Source organism: Homo sapiens, chromosome X (genome assembly GCF_000001405.40).
Source record: "Homo sapiens chromosome X, GRCh38.p14 Primary Assembly".
Taxonomy (NCBI): domain Eukaryota; kingdom Metazoa; phylum Chordata; class Mammalia; order Primates; family Hominidae; genus Homo; species Homo sapiens.
This window is the reverse complement of record NC_000023.11, coordinates 36,073,704-36,098,300: the sequence shown is the minus strand read 5'-3', so window position 1 is coordinate 36,098,300 and position 24,597 is coordinate 36,073,704. Positions and strand designations below refer to the sequence as shown.

General features: G+C 34.0%; 1 protein-coding gene across 3 annotated transcripts in view; it reads right to left on the bottom strand.

Annotated features, from left to right (window-relative positions):
• Positions 1–24,597, bottom strand: part of CFAP47 (cilia and flagella associated protein 47) — a 465,584-nt gene that overhangs the window by 287,017 nt on the left and 153,970 nt on the right. For all 3 annotated transcript variants that reach the window (NM_001304548.2, XM_017029452.2, XM_017029453.2), the window contains exon 30: positions 12,763–12,987. In NM_001304548.2, coding sequence (NP_001291477.1) covers positions 12,763–12,987 — 225 coding nt within the window. The remainder of the gene's footprint in view (positions 1–12,762; positions 12,988–24,597) is intronic.

Here is a 24,597-nt window from a genome sequence, read left to right as displayed (position 1 = left end):
TCCTGGAAAAATAGAGATACATGACCTTTCAGAGAGAGAATTCAAAATAGGTATGTTGAGGAAACTCAAAGAAATTCAACATAACGTGGAGAAGGAATTCAGAATTCTATCAGATAAGTTTAACAAACAGATTAAAATAATTTAAAAAAATCAAGTAGGAATTCTGGAGTTGAAAAATGTAATTGGCATACTAAAGAATGCATCAGTCTTTTAATAGCAGAATTGATTAAGCAGAAGAAAAAGTGAGCTTGAAGACAGGCTATTTAAAAATAGATAGAGGACACAAAAAAAGAAAGAATAAAAACAATGAGGCACACCTACATGATCTAGAGGATGGCCCCAAAAGGGCAAACCTAAGAGTTACTGGCCTTACAGAGGAGGTAGAGAAAGAGCCGGGGAAAAGAGTTTATTCAAAAGATAATAGCAGAGAACTTCCCAAACCTAGAGAAATATATCAATATCCCAAATCAATATCCAAATATCCAATATCCGAATGAATGTTAGAACACCAAGCAGAGTTAACCCACAGAAGACTACCTCAAGCCATTTAATAATAAAACTCCCAAAGCAGGCTACCTCAACACATTAAATAACCAGTCTCCCAAATATCAAAAATTTTAAGAAATGATCCTAAAGGCAGCAAGAGAAAAGAAATAAATAACATATAATGAACCTCTGATATGTCTGACAGTAGACTTTTTAGTGGAAACATTACAGGCCAGGAGAGAGTGGTATGACATATTTAAAGTGCTGAAGAAAAAAAACAAAACAAAAAACACTTTTACACTAAAATAGAATATCTAGTAAAATTATCCTTCAAATATGAAAAAGTAACAAAGACTTTACTAGACCCCTAACAGTAGTTGAGAGATTTCATCAACACAAGACATGCCAACAGGAATACTTCAAACAGAAGGAAAAGGACAATAATAAACCATAAGTAATTATCTGAAGGTACAAAACTCAAAGGCAATAGTAAGTACACAAAAAAACCCACAGATTATTACAACACTGTAACTGTGGTGTGTAAACTACTCTTATCTTAAATAGAAAGACTAAGTAATCAATCAATCAAAAATAATAACTACAAAGCCATAGAGTACAATATGATATAAATAGAAACAACAAAAGTTAAAAAGCGAGGGGCTGAAGTTAAGGTGTAGAGTCTTTATTAGTTTTCTTTTCGCTTGTTTCTTTTTTGTTTGCTTGTTTATGCAAACTGTGTTAAGTTGTTATCAGCTTAAAATAATGGGTTATAAGATACTATTTGCAAGCCTCATGGTAACCACAAACCACAAAACATATGACAGATACACAAAAAATAAAAAGCAAGAAGCAAAATCACATTACCAGAGAAAATCATCTCATTAAACAGGAAGAAAAGAAAGAAGAAAGAGGAGACAATGAGAAAAGAAATTTTAAAAAGGCAGAAGTAAATCCTTACTTATCAATAATAGCATTGAATGTAAATGGACTAAAGTATTAAATCAAAATATATAGAGTGGTTGAATGGATGAACAAAGATCCCATGATCTGTTGCCGCAAGAAACACACTTCACCTATAAAGATGCACATAGACTGAACATACACGGATGGAAAAAGATACCCCATGCTAATGGAAATAAAAAAAAAGCAGGAGTAGCTATACTTGTATCAAAAAAAAGTAGATTTCAATACAAAAACTATAAGAAGAAACAAAGAAGGTCATTATATAATGATAAAAGGGTCAATTAAGCAAGAGGATATAACAATTGTAAATATATTTGCACTAAACACTGTAACACCCAGATATATAAAGCAAATATTAGAAATAAAGAGCAAGATAGGCCAATAGATAATAATAGCTGGAGAGTTCAACCCCACTTTCAGCATTTGACAGATATTCCAGACAGAAAATGAAAAAAACATCAGACTTCATCTGCACTATAGACCTAATGGATCTAATAGATATTTCCAAAAGTTTTCATCTAATGGCTATGGAATACCTACTGTTTTCCTCAGCACATGGATCATTCTGAAGGACAGACCACATGTTAGGTCACAAAACAAGTCTTAAAACATTCAATTATATATAAACATTCAATTATATCAAGCATCTTCTGACTACAATGGAATAAAACAAGAATAACAAGAGGTATTTGGAAACTATACAAATATGTGAAAACTTAAAAATGTGCTCCTGAGTGACCAGTGGTTCAATGAATAAATTAAGGAAATTGAAAAAATTCTTGAGATAAATGATATTGGAAACACAACTTATCAAAACCTATCAAATATACCAAAAGCAGTACTAAGAGGGAAGTTTATAGCTGTAAGTACATACTTCAAAAAGAAGAAAATCTTCACACCAACAACCTTACATTCCATCTTAAGGAAAGAGAAAAGCAAGAGCAAGCGAAATCCCAAAGTAATAGAAGAAAAGAAATTATCAACATCAGAGCAGAAATACATGAAACTGAAATAAATAAATCAATAAAACAAAGGTTGCTTTTTTGACAAGATAAACAAAGTTGACAAACCTTTAGCCAGACTAAGATAAAAAGAAAGAAGATACAATAAATAAAATCAGAGGTGATAAAGAAGGCATTACAACTGATACTGCAGAAATTCAAATGATCACAAGTAGCTACGATGACCTATAAATTGGAAAATCTAGAAGAAATGGACAAAGTCCTAGACACATACAGCTGACCAAGACTGTAACAGGAAGAAACCCAAAACCTGAACAGACCAATAACAAATAACAAGACCACAACCATAAGAAAGAGTCACCCAATAAAGAAAAGCCCAGGACCAAATGGCGTTACTGCTGAATATTTAAATATTTAAAGAAGAACTAATACCAACCCTACTCAAACTATTTTATAAAATAGAGGAGGAGGGAATTCTTCCAAAATCATTATATGAGGACACTATTACCCTAATGCTGAAAGCAAAGAAATATAAAAAAGGAATGCTACAGTCCAATATCCCTGATGAATATTGATGCAGAAATCCTTAACAAAATATTAGCAAACCAAATTCAGCAATACAGTAAAAAGATCATTAATCATGACCAGGTGAGATTTATCCCTGTTGAGTCAAGAATGGTTTAATGTATGCAATGTATGTCATACAATCAATCAAGTAGAACACATCATCAACAGAATAAAGGACAAAAATCATATGATAATTTCAACCAATAGTGAAAAAGTATTTGATAAAATTTAACATCACTTTAAGATAAAATACTCTCAAAAAACTGGATATGGAAGGAATATACCTCAAAAGAATAAAATCCATATATGACAGACCCACAGCTAGTATCATACTGAATGGGGAAAAACTAAAAGCCTTTCCTGTAAAATCTGCAACACAACAAGGATGCCCACTTTCATCACTGTCATTGAACACAGTACAGGAAGTCCCAGCTAGAGCAATCACACAAGATAAAAAATAAGGAGCATACAAATTAGAATAAAAAAGTCAAATTATCCTTGTTTGCAAATGATATGATCTCATATTTAGAAAAACCTAAAGACTCCACAAAAAAACCTATTAGAAATAATAAACAAATTCAGTAAAGTTGCAGAGTACAAAATCAACATACAAAATTCAATAGCATTTCTATATGCCAACAGTGAAAAAACTGAAACAAGACATTTTAAAACAGGAGTCCCATTTACAATAGCCACAAATAAAATTAAGTACCAAGGAATTAACTTAACCAAAGAAGTAAAATATCTCTATAAAGAAAACCATAAATCACTGATGAAATATGTTGAAGAGGACACCAAAAAATGGAGAGCTATTCCATGTTCATGAATTGGAATTATCATTATTATTAAGATGTCTATGCTACCCAAAGCAATTTATAGATTCAATGCAATTTCTGTCAAAATACAAATAATATTCCATACAGAAAGAGAAACAAAATCCTTACATTTATATGGAACCACAAAAGACCCAGAATAGCCAAAGCTATCTTAAGCAAAAAGAACAAAACTGGAGGAATCACTTTACCTGATTTCAAATTATACTACAGAGCCATAGTAACCAAAACAGTGTGTTACTGGTCTAAAAACATACACATCGACCAATGGAACAGAATACAGAAACCAAAATCAAATGTACAGGCCTACAATGAACTCATTTTCAACAAAGGTGCCAGGAACACACACTGGGGAAAAGACAGTATTGTCAACAAATGGTACTGGGAAAACTGCATATCCATATGCAGAAGAATGAAACTAGACATCTGTCTCCCACCATATACAAAAATAAAATCAAAATATAATAAAGGCTTAAAGCTATATCCTCAAACTATGAAACTACTACAAGAAAACTTCAAAGAAACTCTGAACGATACAGGTCTGGGCAAAGATTTCTTGAGTAATATCCCACAAGAACAGGCAATTAAAGCATAAATGAATACATGGCTTCTGCACAGCAAAGGAAACAATCAACAAAGAAAATAGACAAATCCTATAATAGGACAAAATATTTGCATACTACCCATCTGTCAAGGGTTGATAACCAGAATATATAAGGCGCTCAAACAACTCTGTAGAAAAATATCTAAAAATCCAATTTTAAAATGGGCATAATATTTGTTTCTTTTTAAAATTTTTATATTTATTTTGTTTCTTTTTTTACCTTCAATCAACTCACACCATTTTTTGTTTTGTTTTTTCATTTTTGTAGTTTTCTATTTCTCATTTCATTTTTTAAATGGGCAAAATATTTGAAAAGGCATTTATCAAAAGAAAACATACAAATGGCAAATGGCCACATGAAAATGTACTTAACATCATTGATCAACAGATAAATGCAAATCAAAAGTATAAAGAGATATCATCTCATCCCAGTTAAAATGACATTTATCCAAAAGACAGGCAGTAACAAATGCTGCTGAGAATATAGAGAAAAGGGAGCCTTTGTACACTGTGGTGGTAATGTAAATTAGTACAACCATTCCAGAGAAAAGTTTGGAGTTTCTTCAGAAAACTAAACACAGAGCTACCTCAAAATCCAGCAATCCCCTTGCTGGGTATATAGCCAAAAGAAACGAAATCAATATTTTGAAGAGATAATCTTCATTCCCACATTTGTGCAGGTTTGTTCACAATAGCCAAGATTTGGAAGCCACCGTAGGTCCATCAACAGATGAATAGATAAAGACAATGTCATACAACTACACAATGGAGTACTATTCAGCCATCAAAAAGAAAAAGATTCAGTCATTTGCAAGAACATGTATTAACCTGGAGGTAATTATATTAAGTGAAATAAGCCAAGCACAGAAAGACCAAAGTCAGATGTTCTCAATTATTTGTGGGATCTAAAAATCAAAACAATTGAAGACATGGAGATAGAGAAGAGAAGGATAGTTACCAGAGTCTGGGAAGGGTAGTCAGGCAGTGAGGGGGAAGTGGGGATAATTAATGGATATGAAAAATTATTATAATTAATGAATAAAGTGTAGTATTGGATAACACAACAGAGTGACTCTAGTCAATAATAATTTAATTTTTCATTTTAAAATAATGATAGTATACATAGATTATTTGTAACACAAAGGATAAAGGGATTAATACCCTATCTTCCATGATGAGATTATTATGCATTGCATGCCTGTATCAAAATATCTCATGCACATACTATGTACCCCCAAAATTTAAAATAAAAAGTAAAAAAAAAAAATAAAAGTTATATAGTTAACTTTTAAAACCTCCCTTAATTCTAAAATGTGCCTACGATGTTTTCTTTAGAGAACTTGATAAATGAGAAAGAACTTACTTAGACCTATAATCAGCTACATCAATCCCTACATGGTAACAAAACACAAAGAGTTTTATGAATTGGATTTGTAGTCAATGCAGTAATCATTTTATTCCTGTTATAATATTATAAAATTGAATAAAACATCTGGAAATGTTTGAATACAATAAAACATCTAACAGAGAGATCACTAGTCATCCAATGTTTATTGAGTACCTATAACCACAAATACCTAAATATAGAAAGCTTGTGTAAGGTAATTCATTATCTATTTATTCTAAAGAGAATATCCAAAAATTGCAGACTCTGATTATATATTCTTGTGGTAGCATATTTGAAGCAGTAAATATTTATTTATATCATTTAATACATTTTAAAGCCTATGTATGTACATATTTATATGCATATAATTTACCACATTTATGTTTTTATATATACTTTTTTCATTGTCAAATTCATTGAAATAATTTTAGCCAAACTCTTAATATGAATATCCATCACCATCAGAGCCACTGTGTAGAAATCTAGTATTTTGTGGCAAATATTTCCTAACGGAGATTCAGATATTCAGGTCTAACTCAGTTAGTGAACCTAGAACACCACTCACCAATAAACATTTAATAGGAAAGAATCCTACATCTAGTTCTCAATTCTGGAAATACCCTCAGAATTTGCAGTCTTGTGATTACAGAGAAGTTGGAAAAAGAAAAAGGAAAATGGAGGCTTAAGATGATTCTGAAAACTCAAACCTTGAAGATGGTGCAGATGACTGAGAAAATAGAAGTGAGGAAGGAAACTCTTCTTGGGTGGAGGCAGTGTCCCCTGTTCTAGAGTTAAGTTTGACATGGCCCTGGGTCAGTCTAAGCTAGTAGAAGAAATCATACTGCCTACATAAAGTTCCTTTGTTGGGAAATGAAACATAAAACTGTCTTTTTGATTTTCACACAATTCCTGTCCTCATGCACATTACTTCTGTGAATCTTCATTACAGTCAAATTGGTATAGATTTAAATAAGATCTAATTTTACGTAACACCACTCCTCAGCAAGATTAGCCAACCGACAGCCTATGTAGAAATGCAATGAGATGATGTCTCCATTAAGTTGAAATCCTCTAGAGTAAAACAAAACATACAACTCAGAGGCATATGAAGAAACTGGAATATTTTCTTGTGCCCAAAGCCAAGACAGAATTTCAGTGTGTAAGTGGTCACTTATATCAAACGTTACTGAGAACTGGAGGAAAATATCAGGGAACCATTAAAATGGGAGCTTCTTGAGGAGGGAGCCTACATGTTATTTATTTGAGTATTCCAAAGTGTCCACCAGAGAGTAAACCCTAGGTAAAATTGAGGACAAGAAAAATGCATTTTTTTCATTTTAAAGGCTGAGACTGTTATGAAGACTTGTTTTATGCTTTTCATTTTGAATCTACCTCAAGGCCTAACTTCATCAGTGCACAAGACAATATTTACCTTTATGTCTTATCAGTAGATTTTACGTCTTGTCAGTAGTTTTATAAAGAGTTGACTTTCCTAATTGATTTCATTAAACTTTTACATAGTAGTTTTTTTATTTGAATATTTTTTCCAAGTTCGCATTGGGTGGATCAAAACATAATTAGGTGCAATTAGTTATTAAATGCTAAACTTAATCTTCAAAAAATTTGTTTCTTAAAAAATCCTAGCTTAATCCCTAAACATAAGTTGCTCATTTATGCAGAGTAGATATTTCACGTGTATAAAAGTTCTTACCTATTGTATTATCAAATTTAAATGGGGAAGCTGATAACATTTATGATTATTTTGTATTTGAATACATATATTTCCATGATGAAACATATGCACATATCTTGAATTAATGACCCAATTTTATTAACCATACTGTCACTTTCTAAATGTTAAGTCATTTTATCACAGTCAACATATCCTGATAGGCATGTATTTGCAGATAAAGAGCAAATAAATCTGAATGGCGTGGCTTTAATGTCAAAATTATTCTTCCATACCTGCATCCTCACATCATAAAATGTCATAACACAAATGACCCATGTTAATGTCAACACTACTGGGAGCTGTGCCAAAAAGAATTCTACAAGAATAACACAACGATTGCAAGTTCCATAGGTTTAATGATGCTGTCACAAAGTTGTTTGATTTCCATTATATGCATACAATCAGGATTGACTTAAGTATGTAAGCCTCCTTCTTTTGCTCACAGTTAATATTTATTATATTTTCAGAGTAAAACTAACTTTCTGAAAAAAATGCATTCAGGTTTTGGACTTATTGAATTAGAGCACTTACCTTATTGAATCAATTATTGAGGACCAAAAGTAGGAAGTGGTAAAATTAAAAGCTATGTGCTTTCTGTTATAAACTTATTAAAATTTAAATAAAGTTTCCATTCAGTCTAATAAATGTGAGGCTATAATTGATAAATACTGGCTTTCTGACATTTTTATGTCAACAAGACATTTATTACTCATACAATGGATTTTTAAAATAAATATTCCATTTCAGTGATAGTGATATCACAAGAATCAGTTTCAGTATGTCACTAGTGGTTACTATATTGGAATAGTTTCAGGAAATATCTAAGCAGGTGAAAGCCTTAGGCCATAATTCATTTCATTTAACAACAATAACAATAACAATCTACTATATGTCACGTGATTCACGTTATATTATTTCTAATTCTTTTTTTATTTAAATTTTAAGTTCAATAGTACATATGCAGGTTTGTTATATAGGCAAACTTGTATCACGGGGGTTTGTTGTAGAGATTATTCTGCCACTCCAATATTAAGCCTAGCATCCGTTAGTTATTTCCCTGATGTAATTCTTCTAACAACCAAGTTAGTTATGGAATTATCACCCTTAATTTTACATATTGAACTTAGAGCTAAAACGGGTGAAGTAACTTGTGCAAGGAAGGTCACAGGAGTACAGAAGAGTTGGAATATAAGCCTATATCTGCATGATTCAAAAGCCATGTTCCTTCAACCCAGTTCAGTGCACCCTTCCAGGATTACTTCTTGGATTGTTTCTTTGAAATATTTTCATTCTTAGATGCAATTCCATTAAATAAGATACTATAATGGTCATGCATAAGTGAGAAGGATATAACACTTTAATTTTTTATTTTCTTTTTTTCCTTTTTTTTATTTTTTGAGATGGAGTTTCGCTCTTGTTGCCCAGGCTGGAGTACAGTGGTGCGATCTTGGCTCACTGCAACCTTCGCCTCCCGGGTTCAAGTGATTCTCCTGCCTCAGCCTCCCGAGTAGTTGGGATTACTGGCGCCCACCACAGCGCTCAGCTAATTTTTTGTGTTTTTAGTAGAGACAGGGCTTCTCCATGTTGGCCAGGCTGGTCTCAAACTCCTGACCTTGTGTGATCCACTCACCTCGGCCTCCCAAAGTGCTGGGATTATACGCGTGAGCCACCGCACCCAGCCCAGGATATAAAATTTTTAAGGATAAAAGTGAAAATCACAAGTGGAACTAAATTTACATATAAGGGGATGTGAGTTGCTTTTTCTAAGTGTATTTATTTTGGTGAATTAACTATTTATTTAAAAACTTAGTGGAATTTAAAAATAAGAGTTACAATAGCTTTATATTCTTCTGATGGTCTACTTTTTAGTTACAATGTACGGCAGAAGATGTTGATATTCTGTGTCGGTTTTAGTTTTATACTACACAAATTATAAATTTTTAAAAATTTTATTATTTTCAATGAAAATTAATTAATCATAAAATGATAATAACTATAAACAAGTGAAATTGTATCAAAGGATGTTAGATATGATATTGGTAAGCTCAAGCTGCCATAAGAAAATACCACAGGATAAGTGGCTCAAACAAGACATTTATTCTTTCACCATTCTGGATGCTGTAAGTTCAAGATCAAGGTGTCAAAAATTTGGTTCTAGGTGAGGCCTCTTTTCCTGGCTTGTAGATGGCCATCTGCCCACTGTGTACTCACATAGCATTCTCTCTATAATGAGAAAGAGAGAGAGAGAGAGAGAAGAGAAGAGAGAGAGATCTGGCATCTCTTCCTCTTCTTTAAAGGACATCCATCCTATTGGATTAGGGCCCTACATTTAACCTTAATAACATCCTTTAAGGCCTTATCTCCAAATAAAATCACATTGGGGGTTAGGGTTTCAACATATGAATTTGGGATGGGGCACAATTCAGTCCATACCAGACACAAATGACAAGAAATATATTACTGCAAATATATCCATACAAAATTTATTATAAAATATAACATTCAGTTACAGAATATTGTTTCATAATATAACACATATGGTATTGCTATGGTCTACATTACACCCCTCCACAAAGTTCATATGTTGAAACCATAAATTTCAGGACTTCAGAATGTGACTGTATTTGGAGTTAGGGTCTTTAAAAAGATAACTAATGTAAAATGATGTAATTAGAGTGGTACCAAATCCAGTTTGGCTTGTGTCTTTATAAGAAGATGAAATTTGAATACACAGAAAGACATCAGGGAAATGGGTACACAGAGGAAAAACCACATGAGGACACAGCAAGAAGAGTTTATCTGCCAGCAGAGAAACCTCGGAAGAAACCAACCTTGACAATACCTTGATCTTGGACTTCTAGCATCCAGAACTCTGAGAAAAAAAATTTACGTTGTTTGCTCCAACTTGACCCTCTCATTTGTTACATTCTCCTTCCTGAAATGCAAATTTTTCACCCTTTCTTTTACCACTTTTTATATTTCACAGCATTTTCTTCATTCTTATATAAATGTCCTGCGATGCAATTTCCATGTTTCATTCCTTATACCACACAAATTCAAAAGGTAAATCTCTGTGAAAGAAAATGTTAAAAAATAAATATGTAATGAACATTGGCCCCATTCCATGCTCCCAGTGATCCTGGGTGTTAGAAATTCCAGATGAATGAGATGTGGTTTCTGCCCTTAAGATGCTCACAGATTTGTGGGATTCACTGACTCAGGGATAAGCCAGCGGAGTTGAAAGTGATTTACAAAATTCCACATAGCTGTGTTATTTCCTTAACTGATATAACCATTCTCATTCTCCCATTTAGATTGAGTGCAGAAGGATACAGAGAAAATGCAAAATTGCATCTCCATGTATCTTTAGGTCTTCTACCCAAAGAATCTCTTTACAGAAATTCTGTTATTTGTGATTAACAGGCAAAATTTCACCCCCACCTATCCATGCCAGATGGCACCTGAGAAAAGGTAGACTCATTGTCAAATAAATACCGTTTTAACTTCAGGTTTTTTTACTTTCATGATTACCTTCTAAAGCCATGTATCTAATATTTATATTTTTCATTTGCTATTTTATATAGAAGGGTTCCTCAAATTGTATTAAGAACTCTCAGAATTAGGATCATCCATGCTGGATTTGGGCTTACACGAGACAGGGAGAGGGATTCCTATATTTGTACATGAAGGTCGGTGACTGCATTTCTGGATACTTGTTCTTTTTTTGCTGTGCCTCTTCTCTGCCTGAAATGTCTGTGTCATGTGGGCATATGCTGCTGATGTCTGAGATGGGGATCTTCTGTCTCTGCCCTTAGGCCCGTCAAGGACCAAGAGGTCTCCTATAACTGACTCAGCCACTCCCTAGTCCTCATATATTTGTCATTCCTATTGTGGCATCAGGGCCAGACAACTGCCACTCTTCTGCCTCTCCAGTGGCGTCCCTCTAACATCCCAACACAGAAGCCGCCATGACAAGCTGCCTGGATCTTGATTCAGTCACCTTAAGTGATTTAGAAACTTCTAGCTACCTTGCAATCCACAAGGAACCAAGCCAGTCTTGCCTTATTACCATGATATTGAGAGCCTAAGAAATGAAAGAAAATATTTTAAGTAACATGTCAAAGTTTTAATACACAGTATCACTAGGGACTCAAAAATCCTGATTTGGAAATAAAAAATTGAATGTCAAATCTTTAATTTGTATTCCTGCTATAAGAGTATTCTTCTTGCCCTCCATCTCTATTCCTGCTAGGATAGATGAACATCTCTGAACAACTATGGAGCAGATTCCATAAACAAAGAAGCAAAAGAGAAAATCACAATAATACATCTAAAAATATATTAACCATATTACATAAACAATTATAAGTGATAAATGCCATTTTAATTGTATAGGAGCATGGAAGAGGGAGTAATAACATGTTCAACTCGATGCTAAATAAATTACTGCCTATGGATGTGGGATGTTTCAGTGTACATGGATGTTGCAAGCGCAGGCTAAAGAAGCAATGTAAATTCACCAGTACTCTTCTCAGAATGTAAATGTACATTGTTTTTCCATTTCTTGGCGACTTGCCATTTAATCTTTGCAGAGGAACACAGATATTACGACAATTATTTTTCCTATCTTTTGCATCAACCATTTAAAATTCCTTTCGCCTTCCTACTATTTTAATTTATCTATGCAGACTAAAAGTCCACAGTACCCATAAATTGAGATGATACTAATAATAGTCTGAGAAATAAAGCTTGTTGGTTTCATCCCTTTTTAGCTAAATGGATTTATGTATTTGCTGTAGACCAGGATTTTCAAAATGAAGGTAATGGATCAGAAATATCAGCATCACCTTGAAACTTGTTATAAATGAAAATTAACTTTGAAAAACTCAATGGGTAAGGGTCAGTAAACTGTTGTTTTAACAGACCCTCTCAGTGATTTTGATGCATGATAAAGTATAAGAATGATTGCCTTAAAAATCCAATACATCATAAAATGCTTATTGGCTATTAAGCATTATATATTTTTCAAAATGTGTGAGATATATATACTTTACCATACATATATATATATAATATATATATACGTGTGTGTATATTTATGTGTGTGTGTGTGTGTGTGTGTGTGTTTGGTTAGAAAGGAAAATAATATCAAAGTCTATCTATCTGTTCATTTATCTAACTATCCAAGCCAGAGTTATATGCTTATATGAGCACATCCAGGCACTTACTTGAGAAAGTCCAGAAGTGAGGAATGTTGCAAATGGAGTTGAATTACCCTTTTTTCATGGTTATCTACAGGTAAAGATTGACTTGAATTAATTCCAGGTGGCATTTTTCCACTCAAATGGAGCAGCACATCATAAATGGTCTTATTATATTTGGAAAAGTCATTCTGTCTGGAAAACTTTTGGGGTGGCGAGGTTGATGAGTAGAATTGCATTTTATATACATCCCTATGAGAAAAAGACTTAAAATTAAAAACAGTCTCAAAATGTTATAGTATGGGGGAAAAAAAAACATGTTCAATTCAATGACTAAATGAAACTCTATTAAAATCAACTAAGTAAGAAACTCCATAATACACTTCACTAGGCTACCATTTGTTGGTCAAAAAAGATTTGTTAAATATTATCATAGATTTCCAGTATCTCATTTAAACACACATAATTATCTAATGTTGCAACTGTCAAATCTGAAGTATTAGATTATGAATAGATTGGATCTTGAGAAACAGAATAGAGATTGAATTTAAACCCATCACCTACTAGCTGAGTGAGTATGGCAAGCTATCTAAACTCACTGAGCTCAATTTTGCATGATATAAATTGGAGATAATGAGGTCTGTAATAGTTTCCAAGATAGATTTCAAATGTTTATCACACATGTATATACAAAAATAATGTACACACATTTTCTCACTATTTGTATTTTAATGCTTAGAAGGGCAAATCCTGCACATTGGCTTAATAAGCAGGGATTTTCATTTTAAAGATAAAGCCCACAGATAACATATATTCCTCTGTTCTTTAAATCAGATACTGCAATCTCTAATTCCTAGTAATATTGCACAAGGTTGTGATGCATACTGACTTTAAATGAAGTTAAAAATTACCACTATTCTTGCTGTCTATAATTTATTAAATATCTCACACCACATTGTCTAACTGTTAGCAATGAGAGTCACAGATGTATCACTTGCTTAGATTGACAAATAAGTACCCGAGGCCATTTTGAATGGCAGTTACCCACTTTGGTAGATAGGAAGTTCACACAGAAGAAAATACGTTCCACTGGGCAAGAAATAGACTACCACTGCTCAAAATATGGCTCTTCCACTTATTGCATGACATTATAAAAGTTACTTGACTTTTCTGTTCCTTAGTTTCTTCATAAGTAATGGGTATGATAGAGCTAGTGTATCCTGAAGTTACCAGCAAAGAAACAAATATTTTATGGAGAAAATTAATACCACTATTGGTCAAGATTAATGCAAACTAAAATGAACAATAAGCAATAAAAACAGACATTCAGGGATCCCAGGTATTATAGTTGTAAGACACAGGTTTTAAACTAACCATATGTACTATGTTCAAAATTGATAATTTTGCCATGGAACAATAAGGTACATAAAATTTGACTAATGGAGCATTCACAAATAAAAATCTGAATAAATAAAATTAAGAAATCAATGGATGAGTCTAACAGTAGATTAAATCAAATAAAAACAAAATTACTGCAATGAAATATAGGTCATAGAATAGTATTCATACTGCAACATTTGAGAAAATAAAAATCATCCTACCTGCAAGACTAATGATGCAAAAAAAAGAACAATGATGTTGATAAATATATAGGCAAATATGAACTGATTAAAAACCATAATTAAACAAAAATAATAGTATTAAACATTATTAAATCATTATTGTTTAATAACTCCATAGTTGCCTATATATAGTTTAACTATATTCATTTTGCTCTTACATATATATTAATATGTTAAAGGATTTTGTTTATTTTTCAATTATGAGAATCCCCTATTTGGAGATTGAAAATATTCAAAAGTCTCACCCATCACTATCACCAGCAAACATGCAGTAAAATGATTAACAAATAAAACTCTTTTAAACATAAGAATTGTAGAATATCTCATTATTGTTATACTAGTGTGCAAAAGTAAGAATTCAAGGAACACAACTAGAATGAGTTATTATAGTCATTTTCATTTTAATACTTAGCTTGAATCTAAAGTCAAGTTTCTATGACTTTGTTGGACACTGTTTACAGTATGAATGGGCAGGATGCCCAGAAATGGAGGTGACATTTCATTTTAATACTATTAAATTTATCAGTGAGCTTGCCAGCAGCTCAAAGCTGCAAAGAGAAAAGCATGCTATGCTATATATATGTGCATATATATACATACATATATAAGTATATATGTAATATATAAGTACATATACACATATATGTGTATACATACGTACATGTATACATGCATGTATACATGCATATATGTATACTACATCTATATGTATGTATGCACATGTGTGTGTATTTATATAAATAAAAGTCAAATGTTCCTGAATCAAGCTGGGGAAACATCCTGCAAAGAAAGGTGAAATATTATTAATAAAACATAATTTGGAAAAGTGCTCTCTTGAAAATGATGAGTTTTAAACTGACTCTCTACTGCCAAATACAAAAAGAGTTGGTGAATATGATTAATGAAATTAGAAATACATAACTATATTAACATAATCCTAATTAAACTTATTAATAATAGCTAAGATTTACTGAAGACTTACTAGGTCCTAAGGTCTGCTCTGACATGCATTAAATATATTATCTCATAAATGTTACAACAACTGTATTGGTTAGGTATTATCATTATCTCCTTTTTTACAGATGAGAAAATGGAGGCATAGAGGAAATATTTTCCTCATTTCAGATCCTCTTGTTATGAAAGATAAAACATTCTACTGGAAGGATTTGATTTTCTATAAGATTCTATGTATTATACTAAATGAGAGGCTCTGGGATGGAATAGTTAGCTTTGGAACAAGCTTTCCTTAAGCTTCCCCTTAAGCTTCCTGACTGGCATTCTAGGATGTGTTGTTTGTATGTGGCAGCTGCAGGAAGCTTCATGCTAGAGTGGAATCCTGGGACAGCACCTACATGTACTGCAATTACTTCTCTCAGAATAAGTGGGACTTCCAGTACGATTCAAATGACTCTATGATTAGTTGCTTAGAGATCTTCTCAGCGGTGTTTATAGAAAATGTTATTTCTACAATTCACCCAGCTTGAAAAGAATAGACTATAATATTTACTACATTTTCTGTGATTATCTCTGAAACATAAATTGTGTTTTCTTGTCTATTTCCAGGGCTACTTCTATCTTCTGGTGATTAGGGGAAGAGCAAAAAAGAAATAATACCTAAGGGCTTCTAGGAACTGAAAACAGACTGATGCCCAAAGTCATTAATTATAAAGGAAGTACAAATTAAAATCCCAACGAGATATTATCTCAGGCCTGTTATATTGACTTATAAGAAATATGAACAATAACAAGTTTTGGAGAAGATGCGGAGAAAAGGGAACCCTTGCACACTTCTGGTAGGAAGGTAAATTAGTACAGTGATGTAGGAAACATTATGGAGGTTCCTCAAAAAAATAAAAATAAAACTAGGGTTTTCTAAGCATAAAATCATAACATCAGTGAAGACAGAAGTAAGACTTCTTTTATTTGGATGCCTTTTGTTTCTTTCTCTTGTCTGCTTGCTCTGAAAAGGACTTCTCATACTATTTTGAATAGCAGTGGTCAGAGTGGGCATCCATGTTTTGTTCTAGTACTCAAGGGAAATGGTTCCAGCTTATGCCCATTCAGTATGATATTGGCTGTCATAGATGGCTCTTGTTATTTTCAGGTATGTTCCTTTGCTGGTGACTCTGTTGAGATTTTTTATCATGAAGGGATGTTGGATATTATTGAAGGCTTTTATCACATCTATTGAGATGATCACACAGTTTTTGTTTTTAATTCCTTACATGCGGTGAATCATTGACTAATTAGTGTGTGTTGAATCAACCTTGCATCCCAGGAATGAAGCCTACTTGATCATGGTGAATTAGCATTTTGATGTGCTACTGGATTCAGTTTTCTAATATTCTATTAAGGATTTTTACATCTATGTTCATCAGGAATATTGGCCTATAGTTTTCTTTTTTCAATGTGTCTCTGCCAGGTTTTGGTATCACAGTGATGCTGGCTTCCAAGAGTGTGTTAGGGAGGAGTCTTTCCTCCTTGATTTTTTGGAATAGAATCAGTATAATTGTTAACAGCTCTTCTTTGAATATCTGGTAGAATTTGGCTGTGAATTCTTTTGGCCCATGGCTTTTGTTAGTAGGTTTTTTATTACTTATTTAATTTTTGAAATCAATATTGATCTGTTCAGGGATTCAATTTCTTCCTGATTCAATCTTGAGAGGATGTGTGCTTCCAGGAATTTATCCACATTCTCTAAATTTTCTAGTTCTTGTGCACCGAAGTGTTCATAAACATCTCTTAGGATCCTTTGTATTTCTGTGGGATCAGTTGTAATGCCACATTTAGTGATTTTGATTGTGCTTATTTGTATATTCTCTCTTTTTTTCTTTCTTAGTCTAGCTAGTAGTCTATCAATCTTGTTTATCTTTTCAAAAAACCATGTTTTGGTTTTGTTGATTCTTTGCATATATTTTTGAGTTTCAAGTTCATTGAGTTCTGCTCTTATTTTAGTAATTTATTTTCTTCTGCTAGCTTTTGAGTTAGTTTTCCTAGTTTTTCTTTTGTTTTAATTATACTTTTAAGTTCTAGGGTGCATGTGCACAATGTGCAGGTTTGTTACATATGTATACATGCGCTGTGTTGGTTTGTTGCACCCATTAATTCGTCATTTACATTAGATATTTCTCCTAATGCTATCCCTCCCCCATCCCCCAACCCCACAACAGGCCCTGGTGTGTGATGTTCCCCACCCTGTGTCCAAGTGTTCTCATTGTTCAGTTCCCACCTACGAGTGAGAACATGCGGTGTTTGGTTTTCTGTCCTTGTGATAGTTTGCTCAGAATGATGGTTTCCAGCTTCATCCATGTTGCTGCAAAGGACATGAACTCATCCTTTTTTGTGGCTTCATAGTATTCCATGGTGTATATGTGCCACATTTTCTTAATCCAGTCTATCATTGATGGACATTTGGGTTAGTTCCAAGTCTTTGCTATTGTGAATAGTGCTGGAATACACATACATGGGCATGTGTCTTTAGAGTAGCATGATTTATAATCCTTTGGGTATATACCCAGTAATGGGATCACTGGGTCAAATGGTATTTCTAGTTCTAGATCCTTGAGGAATTGCCACACTGTCTTCCACTAATGGTTGAACTAGTTTACAGTCCCACCAACAGTGTAAAAGTGTTCCTATTTCTCCACATCCTCTCCAGTACCTCGTTTCCTGACTTTTTAATGATCGCCATTCTAATGGATGTGAGATGGTATCTCACTGTGGTTTTGATTTGCATTTCTCTGATGACCAGTGATGATGAGCATTTTTTCATGTGTTTGTTGGCTGCATAAATGTCTTCTTTTGAAAATCGTCTCCTCATATCCTTTGCCCACTTTTTGATGGGGTTGTTTGATTTTTTTCTTGTAAATTTGTTTAAGTTCTTTGTAGATTCTGGATATTAGCCCTTTATCAGATGGGTATACTGCAAAAATTTTCTCCCATTCTGTAGGTTGCCTGTACACTCTGATGGTAGTTTCTTTTGCCATGTAGAAGCTCTTTAGTATAATTAGATCCCATTTGTCTATTTTGGCTTTTGTTGCCATTGCTTTTGGTGTTTTAGACATGAAGTCCTTGCCCATGCCTATGTCCTGAATGGTATAGCCTAGGTTTTCTTCTAGGGTTTTTAAGGTTTTAGGTCTAACATTTAAGTCTTTAATCTATCTTGAATTAATTTTTGTATAAGGTGTAAGGAAGGGATCCAGTTTCAGCTTTCTACATATGGCTAGCCAGTTTTCCCAGTACCATTGTTGCTTTGACAATTTGACAGAAGTAGGCTTCAGAAAGTCAGTAATAACAAACTTCTCCGAGCTAAAGGAGGATGTTCGAACCTATCTCAAGGAAGCTAAAAATCTTGAACAAAAGATTAGATGATTGGCTAACTAGAATAAACAGTGTAGAGAAGACCTTAAATAACCAGACGGAGCTGAAAACCATGGCACTAGAACTACGTGATGCATGCACAAGCTTCAGTAGCCAATTTGATCAAGTGGAAGAAAGGGTATCAGTGACTGAAGATCAAATGAATGAAATGAAGCAAGAAAAGAAGTTTAGAGAAAAAAGAATAAAGAGAAACTAACAAAGCCTCCAAGAAATATGGAATTATGTGAAAAGACCAAATCTATGTTTGACTGCTGTACCTGAAAGTGACGGGGAGAATGGAACCAAGTTGGAAAACACTCTGCAGGATATTAACCAGGAGAATGTCCCCAACCTAGCAAGGCAGGCCAACATTCAAATTCAGGAAATACAGAGAACACCACAAAGATATCCTCAAGAAGAGCAACCCCAAGACACATAATTGTCAGATTCACCAAGGTTGAAATGAAGGAAAAAATGCTAAGAGCAGCCAGAGAGAAAGGTCGGGTTACCCACAAAGGGAAGTCCATCAGACTAACAGTGGATCTCTTGGCAGAAACCCTACAAGCCAGAAGAGAGTGGGGGCCAATATTCAATATTCTTAAAGAAAAGAATTTTCAACGCAGAATTTCATATCCAGCCAAACTAAGCTTCATAAGTGAAGGAGAAATAAAATCCTTTATAGACAAGCAAATGCTGAGAGATTTTGTCACCACCAGGCCTGCCCTAAAAGAGCTCCTGAAGGAAGCACTAAACATGGAAAGGAACAACCGGTACCAGCCACTGCAAAAACATGCCAAATTGTAAAGACCATCATTGCAAAATAAGCAGCTAACATCATAATGACAGGATCAAATTCACACATAACAATATTAACCTTAAATGTAAATGGGCTAAATGCCCCATTTAAAAGACACAGACTGGCAGATTGGATAAAGAGTCAAGACCCATCAGTGTGCTGTATTCAGGAGACCCATCTCATGTGCAGAGACCCACATAGGCTCAAAATAAAGTGATGGAGGAAGATTTACCAAGCAAATGGAAAACAAAAAAAAAGTAGGGGTTGCAATCCTAGTCTCCGATAAAACAGACTTTAAACCAACAAAGATCAAACGAGACAAAGAAGGCCATTACATAATGGTAAAGGGATCAATTCAACAAGAAGAGCTAACTATCCTAAATATATATGCACCCAATACAGGAGCACCCAGATTCATAGAGCAAGTCCTTAGAGACCTACAAAGAGACTTAGACTCCCACACAATAATAATGGGAGACTTTAACACCCCACTGTCAATATGAGACAGATCTACGAGACCGAAGATTAACAAGGATATCCAGGACTTGAACTCAGCTCTGCACCAAGCAGACCTAATAGACATCTACAGAACTCTCCACCCCAAATCAACAGAATATACATTCTTCTCAGCACCCCATTGCACTTATTCCAAAATTGACCACATAGTTGGAAGTAAAGCACTCCTCAGTAAATGTAGTTTTTCTACTGCCTCAATGTGTGAAGTTTAATTTGAGATTTTTCTTTTTTTTTTCTTTTTTTTGAGACTGAGTCTTGCTCTGTCATTCAGGCTGGAGTGCAGTGGCACGATCTCAGCTCACTGCAACCTCCGCCTCATGGGTTCAATAAATTCTCCTGCCTCAGCCTCCCTAGTAGCTGAGACTATAGGAGTGTGCCACCATGCTTGACTAATTTTTTGTGTATTTTTGTAGAGATGGGGTTTCACCATGTTGGCCAGGCTTGTCTTGAACTCATGACCTCCAGCAATCCACCCACCTCAGCCTCCCAAAGTGCTGGAATTACAGGTATGAGCCATTGCACCCAGCAATTTGGAATCTTTCTAATTTTTGAGGTAGGTGTTTAGCATTATAAACATTCCTCTTAACAATGTTTTTGCTGCATCCCAGAGATTTGCTGTAACTGACAAATGACTTCAGTAAAGTTTCAAGATACAAAATCAATGTATGAAAATTGGTAGTATTTCTATACACCAATAATGTTCACACTGAGAGCCAAATCAAGAAGGCAGTCCTATTTACAATAGCCACAGAAAAATAAAATACCTAATAATACATCTGACCAAGGGGGTGAAAGATCTATACAAGGAGATCTATAAAACACTGCTGAAAGAAATCATAGATGACACAAACAAATGGAAAAACATTTTATGCTCATTGATTGGAAGAATCAATATAGTTAAAATGGACTTACTGCCCAAAGCAATCTACAGATTCACTGCTATTTCTACCACATTACCAATGCTATTTTTCAAAGAATTATAAAAAAAAACTTTTCTAAAATTCATATGTAACCAAAAATAAGCCCAAATAACCGAATGACTCCTGAGCAAAAAAAAAAAAAAAAAAAAAAAAAAAAAAAAAAAAAAAAGCTGGAGGCGCTGTATTACCTGACTTCAAACTGTACTATAAGGCTACAGGAACCAAAATTGGATGGTACTGGTATAAAAACAGACACAAAGACCAACGGAACAGAATAGAGAATCCAGAAATAAAGCTGTATAGCTACAGCCATCTAATCTTCAACACAGTCAACAAAAATAAGCAATGGAGAAAGGATTCTGTATTCAATAAATGATACTATGATACTTGGCTAGTCATTTGCAGACGATTAAAAGTAGACCCCTAACTTTCACCATATACAAAAATTCACTCAGGATGGATTAAAGATTTAAATATAAAGTCCCAATCTATAAGAATTCTAGAGGAAAACCTAGGAATCACCATTCTGGACATTGGCCTTGGGAAAGAATTTATGTCTAAGTCCTCAAAATCAATTGCAACAAAAAGAAAAAAGTGACAAGTGGGACCAGTTAAACTAAAGGGCTTCTGCACAGCAAAGGAAACTATTAACAGAGTAAACAGACAACCTACAGAATGGGAGCAAATATTTGCAAACTATGCATCTGACAAAGGTCTAATATCCATAACCTAGAAGGAACTGAAACAGTTTAAAAGCAAAAAACAAATAACCCCATTAAAAAGTGGGCAAATAACATAAACAGACACTTTTCAAAAGGAGATATATAACTGGCCAATGAACATATGAAAAAGTGCTCAACATTACTAAACATCAGAGAAATACAAATCAACATCACAGTGAGATACCATCTCACACCAGTCAGAATGGCTATTACTAAACAGGCAAAAAAAAGAGATGTTTGTGAGGCTGCAGAGAAAAGTGAATGTTTATCACACACCGGGGCTTGTTGTGGGGTGGGGGGAGGGGGGAGGGATAGCATTAGGAGATATACCTAATGTTAAATGATGAGTTAATGGGTGCAGCACACCAACATGGCACATGTATACATATGTAACAAACCTGCACGTTATGCACATGTACCCTAAAACTTAAAGTATAATAAAAAAAAAAAAAGAAAAAAAAGAAAAGTGAATGTTTAAATACTATTGGTAGGAATGCAAGTAAGATCAGCTACTGTGGAAAGCAGTTTGGAGATTTCTCAAAGAACTTAAAACAGAAATACCATTCAACCCAGCAATCCCATTGTGGGGTATATATCCAAAAGAAAATAAATCATTCTACCAAAAGCCATATGCACTTGTATATTCATCACAGCAATAGTGATAGCAAAGAGATAGAATCAACCTAGTTCCCCATCAATGGTGGACTGGATAAAGAAAATGTGGTATATATACACAATGGAATACTATGAAACCATAAAAAAGAATGAAATCATGTCATTTGCAGCAACATGGATGCAGCTGGACCATTATCTTAAATGAATAAACACAGGAACAAAAAAACCAAATACCGCATGCTCTCTCTTGTGGGACCTAAATATTGGGTACTCATGAACAAAAAGATGGCCACAAAAGGCACTCAGGACTAACAGAAGGAGACATGAGGGAAGGAAACAAGTGTCGAAAAACTGTTGTGTACTGTGCTCTTTATTTGGGTGACAGGATTATTTGTATTCCACACCTCAGCATCACACAATATATGCATGTATATTGCACATGTACCCCTGAATCTAAAATAAAAGTTGAAATTATTAAAAAATAACAACAGGCTGGGCGCAGTGGCTCATGCCTGTAATCCCAGCACTTTGGGATGCCAAGGCAGGTGGATCACGAGGTCAGGAGTTCTAGACCAGCCTGGCCAACATAGTGAAACCCTGTCTCTATGAAAAATACAAAAATTAGCCAGGCATGGTGGCAAGCACCTGTAGTCTCAGCTACTTGGGAGGCTGAGGCAGAAGAACTGCTTGAGCCCGGGAAGCGGAGGTTGCAGTTAGCCGAGATTGCGCCACTACACCCCAGTCTGGGTGACAGAGAGAGACTCCATCTCTAAATAAATAAATAAATAAATAAATAAATAAATAAATAAATAAAAATAATACATATAAAATTAAAATTAAAACATTAAAATAAAGCTACCACATGATCCACCTATCCCAATACTGGGCATCTATTTAAAGTAAATGAAATCAGTACATTGAAACGATATAATCACTCCCAGGTTTATTACAGCATTATTCACAATAGCCAAGATATGGAATCAACCTAAGTGTCAATCAACAGATGAATGGATAAAGAAAATGTAACACTCCTCAGCCTTAAAAAAGAGTGAAATCCAGTAGTTTTTGACAACATGGATGAACCTGAAGGACATTATGCTAAGTGAAATAAGCCAGGCATAGAAAGATGAATATTACATGATCTCACTCATACATTTTATCTAAAAAAGTTGAATTCATTGAAGCTGAGAGTGAAATGGTGGTCATCAGAGGCTGAAGGTTGAGGGACCCGAGAGATGTTGGTCAAATGATACAAGGTTGCAATTATACAAGAGAAATAAATGATAAATACTTAAGATGATGAATATGTTCATTATCTTGATTTAATTATTCCACACTGTACATATATATACCATATTAACGCTGTGTACCGTATAATTATATATGATTGCAATTTGTTCAAAAATTTGAAAAAACTCCATAAGTCATCTAATTCATTAACTAGATCCCAAAATATGTTTATGAAGAAAAGTTATTGTAAAAGACAAAATATAAGTTAATAAAATTTTCATAGCCTTATGAAAAAGAAAACAGACTAAGAATTATCAATAAATAGGAAATCCCCTCAAATAATTTCTTTGTCTTCTGCTATTCTACTTGTATATATCTCAGCAATCAACAAATGAACCGGGCCTTATCTTCCTTATTGCTGTGAAGTGGTGTTTCTAAAGAGTGAAATTACGCAAGGTACACATCAACAAAGAGCATTTCTGACAATCTCTATCTTCAGGTTCAAGAAAGAAGATGCACAAACATTCCAAAAAATGTTTCAATAACAAATGATTTTATGATGAAAACTATAAATTTTCAGGGTATCAATTGCATTAATTTTCTCACAGCAGGGACAAAGATGAAATATTAGCCAATTCATTCCATGAAGCTAGGTTTGTCCTATTAATTAAAAAACCTGAAAAAGGTAACATATAGGAAAACTGCAGCCTTAGTTTTACCTAGGTCACTCGAATATAGAGCAGAAATTCTATAAATAGCCCATAGTCCACTATAGCTATGAGTACTGTACTCCCTGCCGTGGTTGCAGCAAGTTACCTCATTGCTGAGAAAGCAGGTAGAAAAGCTCTGAGAACATATCACACCAACAACATTATAACCAGTAACAGGCCTAAACTCCTGTTTACATTAACAACAGAAGTAAGTCACTTGATATAATCAAAACAGTTGAACTATTTTAGACATACTGAGTAACAAAACAGCACATGAAAGAAGGGAAGTAAATGCACTGTAAAAGAGGAAATCAAGTCAAAGAAAAGTGAGCCCTCCTTGTTCATTAATACCATTACCTGTCTACCTGGCTA